This window comes from Homo sapiens, chromosome 21 (genome assembly GCF_000001405.40).
Source record: "Homo sapiens chromosome 21, GRCh38.p14 Primary Assembly".
Lineage (NCBI taxonomy): Eukaryota > Metazoa > Chordata > Mammalia > Primates > Hominidae > Homo > Homo sapiens.
The window spans coordinates 33,703,856-33,720,558 of record NC_000021.9 but is presented as its reverse complement, the minus strand read 5'-3'; the positions used below and the strand labels follow the sequence as shown (position 1 = coordinate 33,720,558).

Below are 16,703 nucleotides of genomic sequence, written 5' to 3'. Positions count from 1 at the left end.
AGGGGATGTCCTGATATGAAATAATAGCCAAAGAGAATGGGTTTTAGGTTTTCCTTCAGTTTCAGCTCTTAGGCTGACTAGATGTCCACTCACGACTGAGATCTTGCAGACTTTAGTCCTAGGTCTCCTCAAATTGACTAAAATAATTCTAGATTACATACATGAAAGCTTTCAAAAGCTCGGACACCTTCCACAAAACTGGGAATACACAATACGTATGTTTCACACAAAATGTGAATGTGCCCAGCACACCAGCAAAAACATCTAAACATTGCATCTCTCCTCTCTACCGGGTCTGGGATGACACTGACAGATAAAGTAAAAATCCATTCAGTCACTGGAAAAATATTTACTGTGGGGATGAACGGGTGTCCAAGACAGAAATGACCCCTTCCTCACAGGCCTTACAGTTCTGCAACTTCTAGAAGAAATTTTCACTGCCCTGTCAGAATTCATCCCTGTAACTATAAACAAAAACCAGAAATTGTACAGTAATTAAGAAGGGGGACAAAAATAAAATAGAATAACTAGTGATTTTTAAAAGTTTACAGATCTCTGTACCAGAATCCCACGGAGACTTTTACTCTCTTCATGACAAGATTAGACAGCTTCCAAGAGTAATCCGTTAATATGAACTTTTAATAAGTATTTTTTAATAAGTACTTTTTAATAAGTATTTTTGTTAAAAAGTAACTTGGGTGTAAGCAAGAACACTTAACAATTTCCTAATAACATTAGGAAAAATTACCCAAAAAACACATTTTATGCAGACTGATATGTTTCAAACTTATGTTTAGTTTAACTGAAGTAAAACAAACAAAAATGTCATGCTTCAAATCCAGGCTTTGAAAAAGTGTAAATGACCCCATCACTTCAACAAATAACTTGCTGATAAAAAAACAGAGGAGTGGGGGAAAATTCACTAAGAGACTTGGGAAACACATGACCTAATTGCAATGTTTGTATCTTATTTGGATCCCAATTTAAACAAACAAACCATAACAAGAAATGTCTAAAGACTATCAGGGAAATGTCCAAAGACTATAAGGTACAGACTAGATGTAGCGAACATTTTACAGGTACAATAATATGGTATTGTTTGTTTGTTTGTTTATTTAGAGATGGAGTCTTGCTCTGTCGCCCAGGCTGGAGTGCAGTGGTGCGACCTCGGCTCACTGCAACCTCCGCCTCCCGGGTTCATGTCATTCTCCTGCCTCAGCCTCCCAAGTAGCTGGGACTACAGGTGCCTGCCACCACGCCCGGCTAATTTTTGTATTTTTCATAGAGACAGGGTTTCACTATGTTGGCCAGGCTGGTCTTGAACTCCAGACCTCAGGTGATCCACCAGCCTCGGCCTCCCAAAGTGCTGGGATTACAGGCGTGAGCCACCATGCCCGGCCCGGTATTGTAAATTTTTATAGATGTGATAATGGTACTGAAGTTATGTCTTTAAACGTTTTCTTATCTTTTAGGTACACATACTAAAATATTTATAGATGAAATGATGCCTGGGAGTTGCTCCAAAAGAATCCAGATGAAACAATATTGGGCATGAGTTGATAATTAATGAAACTATATGATGGAATACATGAATGCTGATTATATTATTTTCTCTACTTTTTAATTTTAAATTTGCCATAATATCAAGTTTTTAAAATCTGGTCCCAAAGTACATTAAAAAGAGAAATTTCTGAAAACTTACCACCAAAAGGTGTTGGAAACTGAGCCATGGTTCTGTTACTTTTACCTTGCTAATCGACGCCTGTAAGTGAAAATGCAACATTTAAGTTTATGAAAACTTAATTCCTGTATAATCATAAACACACCAACATGCTATCTTTAATGGTCAGAGGACTAATACTAGAGCCAGAGCATAGCTCTACAATTAAGGAATTCATTCATTCACGTGTTACTTTTTAAGTATACAGTTGTCCCTCATTATCCCAGGAACACTGGTTCCAAGACCTCCCATGGATTAAAAAAAAATCCGTGGATCCTCAAGTCCCTGATATAAAATGGCACAGTATTTGCATATAACCTAAGCACGTCCTCTTGCATACTTCAAATAATCTCTAGATTACTTACAATATTTAATACAAGGTAAATGCTATGTAAACAACTGTTATTCTGTAAGCTTAAAAGTCTGTACATGTTTAGTATAGACATAATTTCTTCCCCCAAATGTTTTCAATCTATGGTAGGCTGAACCTATGGACTCTGTGAAACCCATGGATACGGAGGGCTGACTGTACCTTTTTCTTAACCATCTATAATTACCAGTCCATCTACTTGATGGTTATAATCAAAGCTTCTTTTCATTGAGCATTTAGTACATGCTACACATTATACTAGGTAATTTATTATAGGTCTTATCTCTTCTACTCATCATCACAGCCCTGTGAGATAGGTTACCATTATTACCATCCCCATATTATGGATCAGGTAAATGAAAATCAGAAAGGGTACGTGATTAGCACGATATCATTCGTTTGGTGACCAAACGCTGTGGAGTTAGCTGTCCTGCTAACTCCATATCCTGTAAACAATGCATATTACACTAACATCTGTCCCAGACTACCAAACACAAATCTAATGCTCCAAAAATCTCCATCAGGCATTATTTATTCATCAACAGCCGATGTGAAAAAAAGCCAGTCCTCTTCTCTAACTAAAAACAAAAATCCAGATTTAGGGCCGGGCGCAGTGGCTCACGCCTGTAATCCCAGAACTTTGGGAGGCCAAGGCGGGCGGATCACAAGGTCAGGAGATCGAGACCATCCTAGCTAACACGGTAAAACCCCATCTCTACTGGAAACACACACACACACAAAAAAAATTAGCTGGGCGTGGTGGCGGGCGCCTGTAGTCCCAGCTACTCGGGAGGCTGAGGCAGGAGAATGGCGTGAACCCAGGAGATGGAGCTTGCAGTGAGCCGAGATTGCACCCCTGCACTCCAGCCTGGGTGACTTAGCCAGACTCCGTCTCAAAAAAATCCAGATTTAGTGAATATTTTTCCTTACGTTTAATTTAACAGGGTAAATGCACAGTTAAAAATGAGTATTGACTGGGCACAGTGGCTCACACCTGTAATCCCAGCACTTTGAGAGGCTGAGTCGGGCAGATCACTTGAGTCCAAGAGTTCAAGATCAGCCTGGGCAACATGGCAAAACCCTGTTTCTAGTAAAAATACAAAAATTAGCCAGGCGTGGTTGCATGAGCCTGTAGTCCCAGCTACTCAGGAGGCTGAGGTGGCAGAATAACCTGAGCTCGGGAGGTCAAGGCTACAGTGAGCTAAGACGGTGTCACTGTACTCCAGCCTGAGCAACTGGAGAGAGACCCTGTCTCAAAAACAAAAATTAAAAAAAAAAAAAGAATGAGTACTAAATACTCACAGATTTAAAATCTTAAATTTAAATTAAAAAAAATGAGTCTCTTGCCCTAATACATCTCAATTTCATCTTCCAATTTGTCCACAGAAGTTTTTTCCAACTATCACATTTTTAAATTTCCAAAAGCACTTTCTTGTTCTCTGTTCTTCTGTTTCTTGGATCATTGGATTCCTCTGGGTTCCTTTTTTGTTCATTGGCTCATTGACTGGGTCTCTTTCACTTTTTTTTTTTTTTGAGACGGAGTCTTGCTTTGTTGCCCAGGCGATCTCAGCTCACTGCAACCTCTGCCTCCCAGGTTCAAGCAATTCTCTTGCCTCAGCCTCCTGAGTAGCTGGGATTACAGGCTCGCCCCACCATGCCCGGCTAATTTTTGTATTTTTAGTAGAGATGGAGTTTCACCATGTTGGCCAGGCTGGTCTCGAACTCCTGACCTTGTGATCCGCCTGTCTCGGTCGTCTCTTTCACTTTTAAGGTTTTCCTTGTATATCTAGTGGTCCCTGGATGCGCCTCCATATTTAATAATGAGGCACTAAAAAACTGCCCAAGCTCAGCGTGGGTGGCAAGCTTGTTGACTGATGGGCTTCTCTGTAAAATGATCAGGTATATTGAGTTACCTTTTCATTGGGACACCTCCAAATGTTCAGTAATGTGGAGGTTTCTTCACCGAAGCTGTTAAGTTTTGCCAGGTAGAACGAACTGCTGGGTGGGGTGTGAAGGGATCAACTCATCTAAGTGCTGCCTTGAGGAGGAGTGAAGAAGGAAGGAGGTAGGGCCCTACACTTCAGTGTGCAGACCTGTACAGGCTCACTTGACTTTCAATCCCGTGCTTCACCTCTCTAGTCTGGAGCACTTCCGGTTCTAGCGCTCCTCCCATTTCCCCAGCAGACGGGACTGAAGTAGTTACCCATCTGCTGGAGTGTAGGAGAGGAAGGTCTAAGAGATCTGGATATGGACTTTTAAGGAATTTCCACTGTGAGCTGTAAAACTGACTTCAGCCTTTTGGAATACGTGGAGCCCCCAAGCACAAGGAACTCTCTCAAGATATCCCTGGGGCATGCTGTTATCTCCATAACTGACCTCTGCAGGTACTTAGGTGGTATCTTTCTCTGTGAACTCAGTTACTACTCCCTCCATTCACTTTCTGTTTTGAAAAATTGTTAAAATCTTTGGTCACTGTCTCCTTTACTGTTATGTTTCTCCTTATGAATTAAGATTTCACTTATTTATGTATTTTATTATTTTATTTATTTATTGAGACAGAGTCTCACTCCGTCCCCAGGCTGGAGTGCAGTGGTGCAATCTTGGCTCACTGCAACCTCCACCTCCTGGGTTCAAGCAATTCTCCTGCCTCTGCCTCCGAAGTAGCTGGGATTACAGGTGACAACACCCCATCTGCCCAGCTATGAATTAACATTTTTAAGCTTCCTTTGAGATTATTGCAGACTTTAGGGAAGGAGAAAACAAGTGTAGTCAAGACACCATATTTAACCAGAGGTTTGTGAATCAGACTACTTCTCACTGTAGATTCCCTTTAGAAATTGCAGCTGCCTTTCTTTTCCTCGACAATTTCTCATTCAATATATTGTATAGGCAACCTTGATAATTCTCTTGAACATTTTAGTGTGTTTTATCTCACTTAGTCCTCATAAAATCCTTTTGGAATCAACATGTCATATATCTTTTTGTAGAGTTTCCCAAAAATGGTAAGCTCTGGATTTTAAATGCATAGTAAAACAGATATTTAATATATATGAGAATACATTCTGTTCATTCAGTTTTACTTCCATTTTTTTACTGTGTTGCAAAATAAAGAGGTTATTGATTTCTCTTCTTTGTATCCAGCTACTTTACCATACTTTCTTATTAGTGCTAATAGTCTCACATATGAATCTCTTTAGATTTCCTAGACCTATATTTTCTGGAAATAAAGAATTTAGCCTTACATTACTAGCCCAAAGCAATAATACTAAGCTATACAAAATAGTTGTGATAGCAATAATTTTTGTATTGCCTGTGACTTTCACAGTGACAGTTTTGGTATTTCATATTTTAATAGGTTGGTTTGTTGTTGTATTTTAGTAAAGATTATTTACCATATTTATGTAGTTTCCTTCTATTCCTATTTTTTATAATTTTATTAAGAAATGGCTAAATTTTTTTCAGAAGCTTTCTTTAAGCATCTAGTGAGATAATGAATTTCTCCTTTACTTACATTCTGAATTATAGTGACATATTTGCAAATACTGAATTATCCTAGAATTTGTACAATAGACCAATTCATATATGCATGTTATTCTTTCACTACACAGCTAGGTTTGATTTGCTAATATTTTCTTTAAGCTTTTTGTTTAAGAAAATGTTATACATAATACTATGCAACAAATGGCAAATCCAGAGGAAATGCATGCATTTCTACCTTCCTATAAATCTCAAAAATTATCTTAGGAAAAAATGATTTTATGAAGTTAGCATTAGCTTAATACTCAACTATGATACTGAAGGCATTAAAATAGACCATTTTTACTTATAGATATAGATATAGATATAATAATTTTATGCCTTACTTTAAATATTTCACAGCTACTATGAGAGGATCACAGCAAACATAAATATAACTCTTATGATTTCAAATATACTTGTAGTCATTATCAGTTCCTGACAAAGCACCTAAGACTATTTGTTATTTACCATGCTACTCTAGAACTTAGGAAATAATTCTCACCCTAGGTGAATCTCTACCCTCCAAAAGCCTTCACCTCACTATGACTAATATTAGACTACATTTACCTTCTGGCCCTTCTGACCTCCAACTCTACTTCTCCTTCATCTGTATCTCTTAAGTGACAACCAAAGGGACTCCACGTTCTCTCTCTTTCCCTCCCCAATTAAAGCCCGATTTCTTTAGTGTCATGTTCTCAGCTGGATGTGAACAAGGAATCTACCTAATGAAAACTAAATTATGTTTATGTATGAATGAAGATGTACCTTTCAGGTTTATTCACTAACACAATAGCCAAATTATGGCTTAAAGATGAGGCTGGGCCAGGGGCGGTGGCTCACGCCTGTAATTCCAGCACTTTGGGAGGCCAAGGCGGGTGGATCACGAGGTCAAGAGATGGAGACCATCCTGGCTAACACGGTAAAACCCCGTCTCCACCAAACAAAAAATTAGCCCGGTGTGGTGGCACATGCCTGTAGTCCCAGCTACTCAGGAGGCTGAGGCAGGAGAATTGCTTGAACCCGAGAGCCGGAGGTTGCAGTGAGCCGAGATAGCGCCACTGCACTCCAGCTTGGGTGACAGAGCAAGACTCCGTCTCAAAAAAAAAAAAAAAAAAAAAAAAGATGAGGCTGGAATGTTCCCAGGTAATTTTCTTCCAACCACAGGTCTTTCCAATGCCAATCACAGCGAGGTTCTCCTTGGCTCCTAAGGAACCCCAGACAATAGTAGAAACATGTAGATGAAGCAACATCTTTCAATCACATCTCCTTTTGTGTTCTATGCTACCTGGACAGACCATGGAGATGACATCTTGGCTTAAGGTGTTTTGTCCTACCATTATATATGCTTGCTGTATGAATTACTACAATTTGAAAAAAATATAGTAATTTGTAAAAGGCTACCATGTTGAGACCGGGAGTGGTGCTCACGCCTGTAATCCCAGCACTCTGGGAGGCCGAGGCAAGCAGATCATGAGGTCAGCAGATTGAGACCATCCTGGCTAACATGGTGAAACCCCGTCTCTACTAAAAATACCAAAAAAAATTAGCCAGGCGTGGTGGCGGGCGCCTGTAGTCCCAGCTACTCGGGAGGCTGAGGCAGGAGAATGGCGTGAACCTGGGAGGCAGAGCTTGCAGTGAGCCTAGATCGTGCCACCGCACTCCAGCCTGGGAGACGGAGCAAGACTCCGTCTCAAAAACAAAAACAAAAAAAGGCTACCATGTTGAAAAAGAATAATCACATATCCAACACATTAAATAATGTCACAAAACCTGGTCAGGCACGGTGGCTCCCACCTGGAATCCCAGCACTTTGCGAGGCCAAGGCAGGCGGATCACTTGAGGTCAGGAGTTCGTGACCAGCCTGGCCAACATGATAAAACCCTGTCTCTAATAAAAATACAAAAATTAGATGGGCGTGGTGGTGGGCACTCGTAATCCCAGCTACTCAGGAGGGTGAGGCTCAAGAATCGCTTGAACCCAGGAGGCAGAGGTTACAGTGAACCGAGATCCTGCCACAGCACTCCAGCCTGGGCAGCAAGAGCAAGACTCAGTCTCAAAAATAAAAATAAAATAAAATGTCACAAACCAGAGTTCTGCTTCTGCTATAGCAGACAGAACACAAAATGTAACTATAATACTTGAGGACAATAAGAAGTAGACAAAAGCAGGCAGATTTGGGAGGTGAGTAAAAAGTTTCTAAAAAGTTTCCTTTCCATGGAGTAAAAACTTTCTTTTTTGTCTTTTCTCTACAACTCTGCCCCACAGGTGGGCCCCAGTCAGGGAGCTATGCAGTGAAGCACAGGTGCAGAGACTAAAACTCCAACAGAAACACGGTCTTTGTGGTTAAAGGAACTAATGAAAAAGGCACCTGTGGGCTGTAAAGTGTGGGGAAAACCAGAGAGGAAAGAAGGTAGAAATGGGACCTGCCATTGTGTGAATTAACTCCCGCTTGTCTTAGGCTCACACCTGAGATATGGATATGCACGGCAGGCTCAAAGAAGCACAGCACTCACTGGTCTTGAAAACTGAACTGAGAAAGGAACCCCTGTCCACAGACAGCATAGAGAATTTATAGTCTGGTATATAACCAAGGCAGATCTAACCAAGTTAGATACCTACTGAAACAAACAGCATTCTGCAGAGGATTACAACAGCACACAACATCTATACAACATGAAACTCACAATGTCCAGGATATAATCCAAAACTACTGGACATACAAAGAAGTAGGAAAATCTGACAAATTCTTAAAAAAAAAAAATTGCAATCAACAGATGCCAACTCCAAGACAATGAAAATGTTGAGATTATCACACAAAGACTGTAGAACAGCCATTACACCTACTTTCCATGAGGCAAACACAAACACAAATGCATGGAAAGATACAAGTTATCAGCAGAGAAAGAAAAACTAGTTTAAAAAGAATCAAATGAAAATTTTAGAGAGAAGCTGAGATCTTTAAGAATGAAAGCAGAGCAAAAGAAATGGCAAACATCTGAGTAAATATAAATTTATTTTTCCTATTAGGGTCTTTAAAATATGTAGACTGTTGAAAGCAAATACTGTAACACTGTGTAGTAGGGTTTCAACATAAATATAACACATATGACAACTGTAACATAAATGTCTCTGGGGGGAGGGTAAAGGGACTTTTATGGCTGCAAGCCTTCTACATTCTATGTGAAGTGATAAAATATTAACTCTAAGCTGATAATAAAAGGTTAAGTAAATATATTTACTACCTGGAGCAATTACACAACACACACACACACACACACACACACACACACACACACAACACACAGAAAAAGACATAGCCAAAAAGTCAAGAGGCAAATGAAAATGGAATGTTAAAAATCCAAAGATGTCAAGAAAAAAGAAACAGAAGAAAGAAAGAAAAAAAAACAGAAAGGACAAACAAAACCAGTAATAGGAAGATGGCAGGTCTAATTCCAACAACCGATAATTACATTAAATGTTAGTAATCTAAACAATAACAGAAAAAAACTTGGAAAAAGAAATGTAAACCAACAGTAAGTAGAAGAAAGGAAATTACAGTGATATGGCAGGATGAATAAAAATGCAGACAATAGAGAAAATTACAAAATCAAACTTTGGTTCTTTGAAAAAAAAAATTTACAAACCTCGAGCTAGATACAGAGAGAAAAAAAAATCGTAGAAATAAGGGGCATCCCCATCAATCCTACAAACATTTAAAAAATAAGAAATAGTAAAAAGCCTTATGCCAATAAATTTGACAGTGTAGATAAAAGAAACAAATTTCTTGGAAAATAAAGCTTACTAAAATTGATACGAGAATGTGAATACTCTTATATTTATTAAAGAAGCTGATTTTATCATTAAAAACCTTCCCCGGCCAGGCGCGGTGGCTCATGCCTGTAATCCCAGCACTTTGGGATCACGAGGTCAGGAGATCGAGACCATCCTGGCCAACGTCTCTACTAAAAATACAATAATTAGCTGGGTGTGGTAGCACGCGCCTGTAGTCCCAGCTGCTCAGGAGGCTGAGGCAGGAGAATCACTTGAACCCAAGAGGCGGAGGTTGCAGTGAGCCGAGATCGCAGCACTGCACTCCAGCCTGGCGACGGAGCAAGACTCCGTCTCAAAAGAAAAAAAAAAAAAACAAAAAACTTCCCCCAAAAGAAAGCCATAGTCTGTTTCACTGGTGAATTCTTTCAAAGAAGAAATAATACAAAAATTATGAAAAGTTTTACAAACAAAAAAAAAGGAGATCACTACCCACTTCACTTTTTTAGGTCATACAACTATAATACCAAAACCTCACAGACGTTACAAAAAATAATAGAACAAGATCCCTAAAGAATACAGATACAAAAATCATTCACAAAAATTAAAAATTGAACATCAATATTATATAAAAAGGATACTAAAATATAACCAAATAGTTTATCCTAGAAATGGCAAGATTAAACCATTCAGAAAATGTAATATACTATATTAGCAGAATAAAGCAGAAAGCCCATATGATCATGTGAACAGATATTTTTTTAAAAGCTTCTGACAAAAACGCAACATCCAATCATGATTAAAAAAAACCAGGCCGGGTGTGGTGGCTCACGCCTGTAATCCCAGCACTTTGGGACGGGCGGTTCACGAGGTCAGGAGGTCGAGACCATCCTGGCTAACACGGTGAAACCCCGTCTCTCCTAAAAATACAAAAAATTAGCCAGGCGTGGTGGCCGGTGCCTGCAGTCCCAGCTACTCGGGAAGCTGAGGCAGGAGAATGGCGTGAACCCGGGAGGCAGAGCTTGCAGTGAGCCGAGATCATGCCACTGCACTCCAGCCCGGGTGACAAAGCGAGACTCTGTCTCAAAAAAAAAAAAAAACAAAAAAAAATGCCTCTCAGCAAATTAGAATTAGTAGGAAACTTCTACAAACAGATATAGGGGATCCATGAACAACCTACATCTAACATCACAGTTAACGGTTAAAGACTGAATTTCTCAGCCTGAGATCAGGAAGAAGACAAGGATATCTGCTTTTACCACTTCTGTGCAACACTGATATGGAGATTACTCAATAAAGTAATAAGACAAGAAAAACAACAAGCAAAAAATAGGCATGAAGATTGGAAAGTAAAAATAAAGCTCTCCTTATTTACAGATATCACTATTTATATAGAAAATCCCAGAGAATCTAGAAAACAATAACTATATTCAATAAGTGAATTTAACAAAACTGCAGGATAAAAGGTTAATGTATTAAAATGAACTGAATTCTTAAATACTAGCAAGCAAAAAATTGGAAAGTGGAATTAAGAAAAACAACTGTTTTACAGTAGCATCAAAATATGTAAAATTTCTAAATGTAAATTTAACAAAAGACAGGCTGGGCGCGGTGCCTCACGCCTGTAACCTCAGCACTTTGGGAAGCCAAGGCGGGTGAGTCACCTGAGGACAGGAGTTCGAGACCAGCCTGACCACTAAAAATACAAAATCAGCCAGGCATGGTGGCACATGCCCGTAATTCCAGCTACTTGGGAGGCTGAGGCATGAAAATCGCTTGAACCCGGGAGGCCCAGCCTGGGCAACAAGAGTGAAACTCCGTCTCAAACAAACACACAAAAAAACATATACAAGGCCTCTACACTTAGAACTACAAAATATTGCGAAGAAAACTTAAAGAAGACCTAAATAAATGGTACTAAGATACTAAGTTCATGGGTTGAAAGATTAAATACTGTGAAAATGCCATTCTTTCCAAAGGGTTTGTATATTCAATGCAATCCCAATCAAAATTGCAGCAGGCTTTGTGGCAGAAATCGGCAAGCTGATAGTAAAGACCTAGAATAAGCAGAGCAACTTTTTAAAAGAACAAAGTTGAAAGATTTACCCTGATTTCAAGATTTACTATAAAACAACAGTAGTCAAGGCCTTTTGGGATTGGTGTAAAGAGACAGATCAATAAAACAGAAAAGAAGAGTTCAGAAAGACCTACCCGTTTGGTTAACTGATTTTTGGCAAAGTTGTAAAGACAAATCACTGGAGGAAAAAAGTCTTTCAACAAACAAAGTGGATCAACTGGATATCCAGGTGGGGAGAAAAGCCAACACTGACACTTTACATAATACACAAAAATTAATTCAAAACGGGTCCTAGGCCTAAATGCAAAACCATATATGCTTCATATAAAAATCTTAAAAGATGGGAGAATATCTTCCTGAACTTAGGCTAGGCAATTTCTCAAAACACAAGGAAGCATGATTTATAAAAGAAAAAATTAGGCCGGGTGCGGTGGCTCACGCCTATAATCCCAGCACTTTGGGAGGCCAAGGCGGGTGGATCACCTGAGGTCCGGAGTTCCAGACCAGCCTGACCAACATGGAGAAACCCGTCTCTACTAAAAATACAAAATTAGCCGGGCGTGGTGGCGCATGCCTGTAATCCTAGCTACTCTGGAGGCTGAGGCAGGAGAATGGCCTGAACCTGGGAGGCGAAGTTGCTGTGAGCCGAGATCGCGCCATTGCACTCCAGCCTGGGCAACAAGAGCAAAACTCCATCTCAAAAAAAAACAAAAAAGAAAAAATTAGTAAACTGGGCTTCAAAGTAATAAAAAAAACAAAAAAACAGTTCTTCAAAAGATAACCCTTATGAAAACAAAAAAGCAAACCACAAAGAAAACACTTACTTGCAACACATACATTAGAAAAAGTACTTGTATCCACAATATCTAAAGAACTCTTACAATTTAAGAATAAGACAGCTCAGTGAGGAAATGGCTGAGATGTAAAATAACTTCTAGAAATGGGCAATAAACCCATGAAAAGATGTTCAACATTATTAATCATCAGGGAAATGCAAACTAAAATCACACTGATATGCCACTATATTTCCACTAGAATGGCTAATATGAGAAAGAATGACCACATCTAGTGTTGGTGAGGATGTGGAACAGCTCTACACACTGCTGAGAGGAATGTAAAATTGTACAAACTTTTAAAAATATAGTTTTCTTAAAACATTACACAGCTACCACTCCACCTAGCCACTCTACTTCTAGGTATTTGGTTAAGAGAAATGAAAATTTATGCCCACACAAAGATTTCTATACAAATGTACTATCAAGCTTTATTTTTAAGAGCCAAAAACTGAAACCCAAATGTCAATCAACTGATCAATGAATAAACAAATGATGATCTATCCATCCAATGAAATGCTACTTGGCAATAAAAAGTAACCAACTGTTACACAGGCAACAACATGCGTGAATCTCAAAATTATTATGCTAAGTGAAAGAAGTCAGATTAAAAAAGAAGTATATATCTATGATTCCACTTCCAGAAAAATTCTAGAAAATGTAAACTAATTATAGTGACAAAAACCCCATCAGTGGTTTCCTGAAGATGGGAGGAGAAGAAAGGACACAAAACAGAGAGGCACAAGAACCTTTTGGGGGAACAGAAGTGTTTGCTCTCTTGGGAATGATGATTTCACAGGCATATGCTCATGTCAAAACTAACCAAACTGTACATTTTTAAATATACACATTTAAAGTGCAGTGCCTCACATCTGTAAAGTGCTTTGGGATGCCAAGGTGGGAGCATCACTTTAGGCCAGGAGTTCAAGACTAGCCTGGGCAACATAGTGAGACCCCCCAACACACACAAAAAATAAAAAATTGAAAAAACATAAAAAATAAGTATATGCATTTAGTACACTTCAATTACATGTTAATGAAGTTGAAAAGAGAGCCACAAGCCACAAAGAAAAGACTAAGTATGAGTCAAGGGTACAGCATTCCTAACAGTTCACTATAAACTAGCATATCTATGTTGATGGAATTCACATCTCTCCCCCAAGAGACATAGCAATTCTTGATATGCCTCAACACAGATTTTAACTTTTAAAAAATATCTCGTTTAAGCTCAAGTTAAAAACTGAATTGAGGCCAGGTGCAGTGGCTCACACCTGTAATCCCAGCACTTTGGGAGGCCGAGGCGGGTGGATCACTTGAGGTCAGGAGTTCAACACCAGCCTGGCTAACATGGTGAAACCCCATCTCTACTAAAAATACAAAAATTAGCTGGGCGTGATAGCGCACGCCTGTAACCTTAGCTACTCGGGAGGCTGAGGCAGGAGAATCACTTGAACCCAGAAGGCAGAGGTTGCAGTGAGCCAAGATTGTGCAACAGCACGCCAAAAAAAATAAATAAATAAATAAACAAATAAAACCTGAATTGAAAGGATAGAACAAATGGTGTGGACTGTAAGGCTTCTGAGCAAGTTAAGTGGCAGATCTCAGATTGTGAATAGGAATCCTGAATGACATTATTTACTAAAGCTGACAAAAAGAAAATTTCTTTTTAAAAAAGGTTTTCTAATAGAAGTGAGGTAGGGTGAAGCATAGTCTATGTTGAATCCAAAATGCTTTACTGGAAAATACTAATTACTCATTTTAAGGTCAATATATCCAGTGTTTTTTTTTTTTTGGTAATAAATGCCTTTTATTAAAATTCTAAGATCAGTGCTTTTCCAAATACCTTTATGACCAAGTAACAAATAACAGCTATACTCTCATTTTAAATTTCATATAAGTGGGGAAAATGTCTGGAAAGTATAAAATATGAGGTATTCTTTAAAATGCCATCAATTAAAAACTTGGTGGCTCATGCCTGTAATCCCAGCACTTTGGGAGGCTGAGGTGGGCAGATCACTTGAGGTCAGGAGTTCCAGACCAGCCTGGCCAACATGGCGAAACCCCATCTCTACTAAAAATAGAAAAATTAGCCAGCATGGTGGCACATGCCTGTAATCCCAGCTACTCGGGAGGCTGAGGCAGGAGAATCACTTGAACCCAGGAGGCAGAGGTTGCAGTGAGCTGAGATTACACCACTGTACTTCCAGCCTGGGTGACAATAAGTATATGAACAAAATTCAAATATAAAAGATGATATGAAACTTCACAGACATCAGTGTTTGATTTGTATGAATAAATATATATACTTCAAGAGGCAAGTTATAAAGGGCTCCAATATGAGTAGGCTTTCAGAAAAAAAATTAAAGCTGCTTTTACTGCCATAACTCACTAAATATATAGTCAAAATGAAACATCAATTTAGAATGATAGGAGAAATGAACTTCAGTACCTCCATTTCTAAAGGAAGAGCATTTGACTGAATATTTTATTAAGGTCTTTCCATTTAAACTTCTGGAGTATATTTTAGATTAAGCAAAATTTTCAAATGTTAAAAAGAGAATTGAAAAAAATGTAGGTTTTAGCCAGGTGCAGTGGCTCACGCCTGTAATCCCAGCACTTTGGGAGGCTGAGGCGGGCGGATCATGAGGTCAGGAGATCAAGACTATCCTGGCTAACACAGTGAAACCCTGTCTCTACTAAAAATACAAAAAAAAAAATTAGCCGGGTGTGGTGGCAGGCACCTGTAGTCGCAGCTACTCGGGAAGCTGAGGCAGGAGAATGGTGTGAACCCAGGAGGCAGAGCTTGCAGTGAGCTGAGATCGTGCCACTGCACTCCAGCCTGGGTGATAGAGCGAGACTCTGTCTCAAAAAACAAATAATAAAGAAAAAATGTAGGTTTTAATTTTTGAGTCAGAGCACTAGCATATTAAATATTTTTCATATTCTTCTTTTTATAATCAGATTATCATTTCTATTTAGAGCTTACTTAAAAATAAACCTTAATATCTTTCCTACATCTTATTAATTTACTCAGGAAAAATTTTTATTTTTATTTCCAGGTACGGTACAAAGCTATACTGATCCAATATAAAAACAACAGGCTGGTTCAGTGATTTTTATCTCCTCATTAAAACATTTTGTCTTTTTTTTTTTTTTTTTTTGAGACGGAGTCTTGCTCTGTTGCCCAGGCTGGAGTGCAGTGGCCCGATCTCGGCTCACTGCAACCTCTGCCTCCCAGGTTCACGCCATTCTCCGGCCTCAGCCTCCCAAGTAGCTGGGACTACAGGCACCTGCCACCACGCCTGGCTAATGTTTTTGTTTGTATTTTTTTTTTTTTTTTTTTTTTTTAGTAGAGATGGGTTTCTCCATGTTAGCCAGGATGGTCTCAATCTCCTGACCTCGTGATCTGCCCACCCTGGCCTCCCAAAGTGCTGGGATTACAGGTGTGAGCCACCGCGCCCGGCCAAGATTGTCTTTACAACTGATTTCGAGGTCCTTATCTCATTCAAATGACAACTTAGCCTTACTCCCGGAATCAAAGATAATAGTCTACAATAACATTATGCCAAAATAATGAAGTCAATTTTGGTGAGGATTTACTGGCATGATCCTTAATAGTAATAGCTTATAATAACGAATGGAAAGTTTAAGTGCTTGCAAGTACACCTGACCTATATTAGCCAATTTAATCCTATTAACAAAGCTATGGACTAAATATTATTAGTATTCCCTCTTCCAGAGACTAAAACACAGTTTATACAGTTATTAAACAATGGAAGAGAGAGTCTGGATTCAGAGCCCATGATGATAACCTCATACTTTTAGGAATACGAACTTCACCAAAGAGGCACAAAGTAGTTAGCCTGGTAAACTAACCAGGGTGAAGCGTGGGTGCAGGGGATACTGTTCCATGCAATAAAGGCACTGGAAAACGAAAGAAGAAAGATAAACCAATTTTTTTTGTAATGTCATAGCAGATCACAGAAACAAAATGGGGGAATTAAGATTAATAGAATGCTGACATATAAGTCCAGTGAGCTTCTACTTCTTACACACAAAAAGGAAAAGCTTCCTGACGTGTAAACATTTACCATATGTAAGCAGGAAGTCACACATTTTTTGAAAATCTAACAGAAAGCCTAGAGCAGTTAAGAAAAGAAAAAAGTGAACGAAATCAGTTCTATCTCTATGAGGGGACTTCAGCAGCATAAGGTAGGTCACCTACGCTGAAAACAAACAGAAACATACCTAGAGAAAAGGAAAGGCATTCTTCTCTCTGAGGTCCCTGGCCCTGTGGCCTAGAAAGCAGGAGAGTTACCCAGGAGTGCAGGAAGCTCAGCCCCAAGCAGAGGCAGCACCTCAGGGCTAAGGGCCCGGAGCTCTTCGGCGAGGAGACAACACACGGAAAAGGGCAGC

At 39.3% G+C, this 16,703-nt stretch overlaps 1 protein-coding gene across 30 annotated transcripts in view; it reads right to left on the bottom strand.

Moving 5' to 3' along the window:
• The window catches only part of ITSN1 (intersectin 1), a 257,361-nt gene that overhangs the window by 179,303 nt on the left and 61,355 nt on the right, over positions 1-16,703 (bottom strand). For 25 of the 30 annotated variants that reach the window (XM_017028428.2, NM_003024.3, XM_017028431.3 and 22 more), the window contains one exon: positions 1,703-1,762. In XM_017028428.2, the coding sequence (XP_016883917.1) occupies positions 1,703-1,730 (28 nt within the window). In that variant the 5' untranslated portion in view covers positions 1,731-1,762. Of the gene's footprint in view, positions 1-1,702; positions 1,763-4,003; positions 14,898-16,703 lie in introns of those variants that run through there. The other 5 variants (XM_047440943.1, XM_047440944.1, XM_047440947.1 and 2 more) reach the window with 1 other exon arrangement.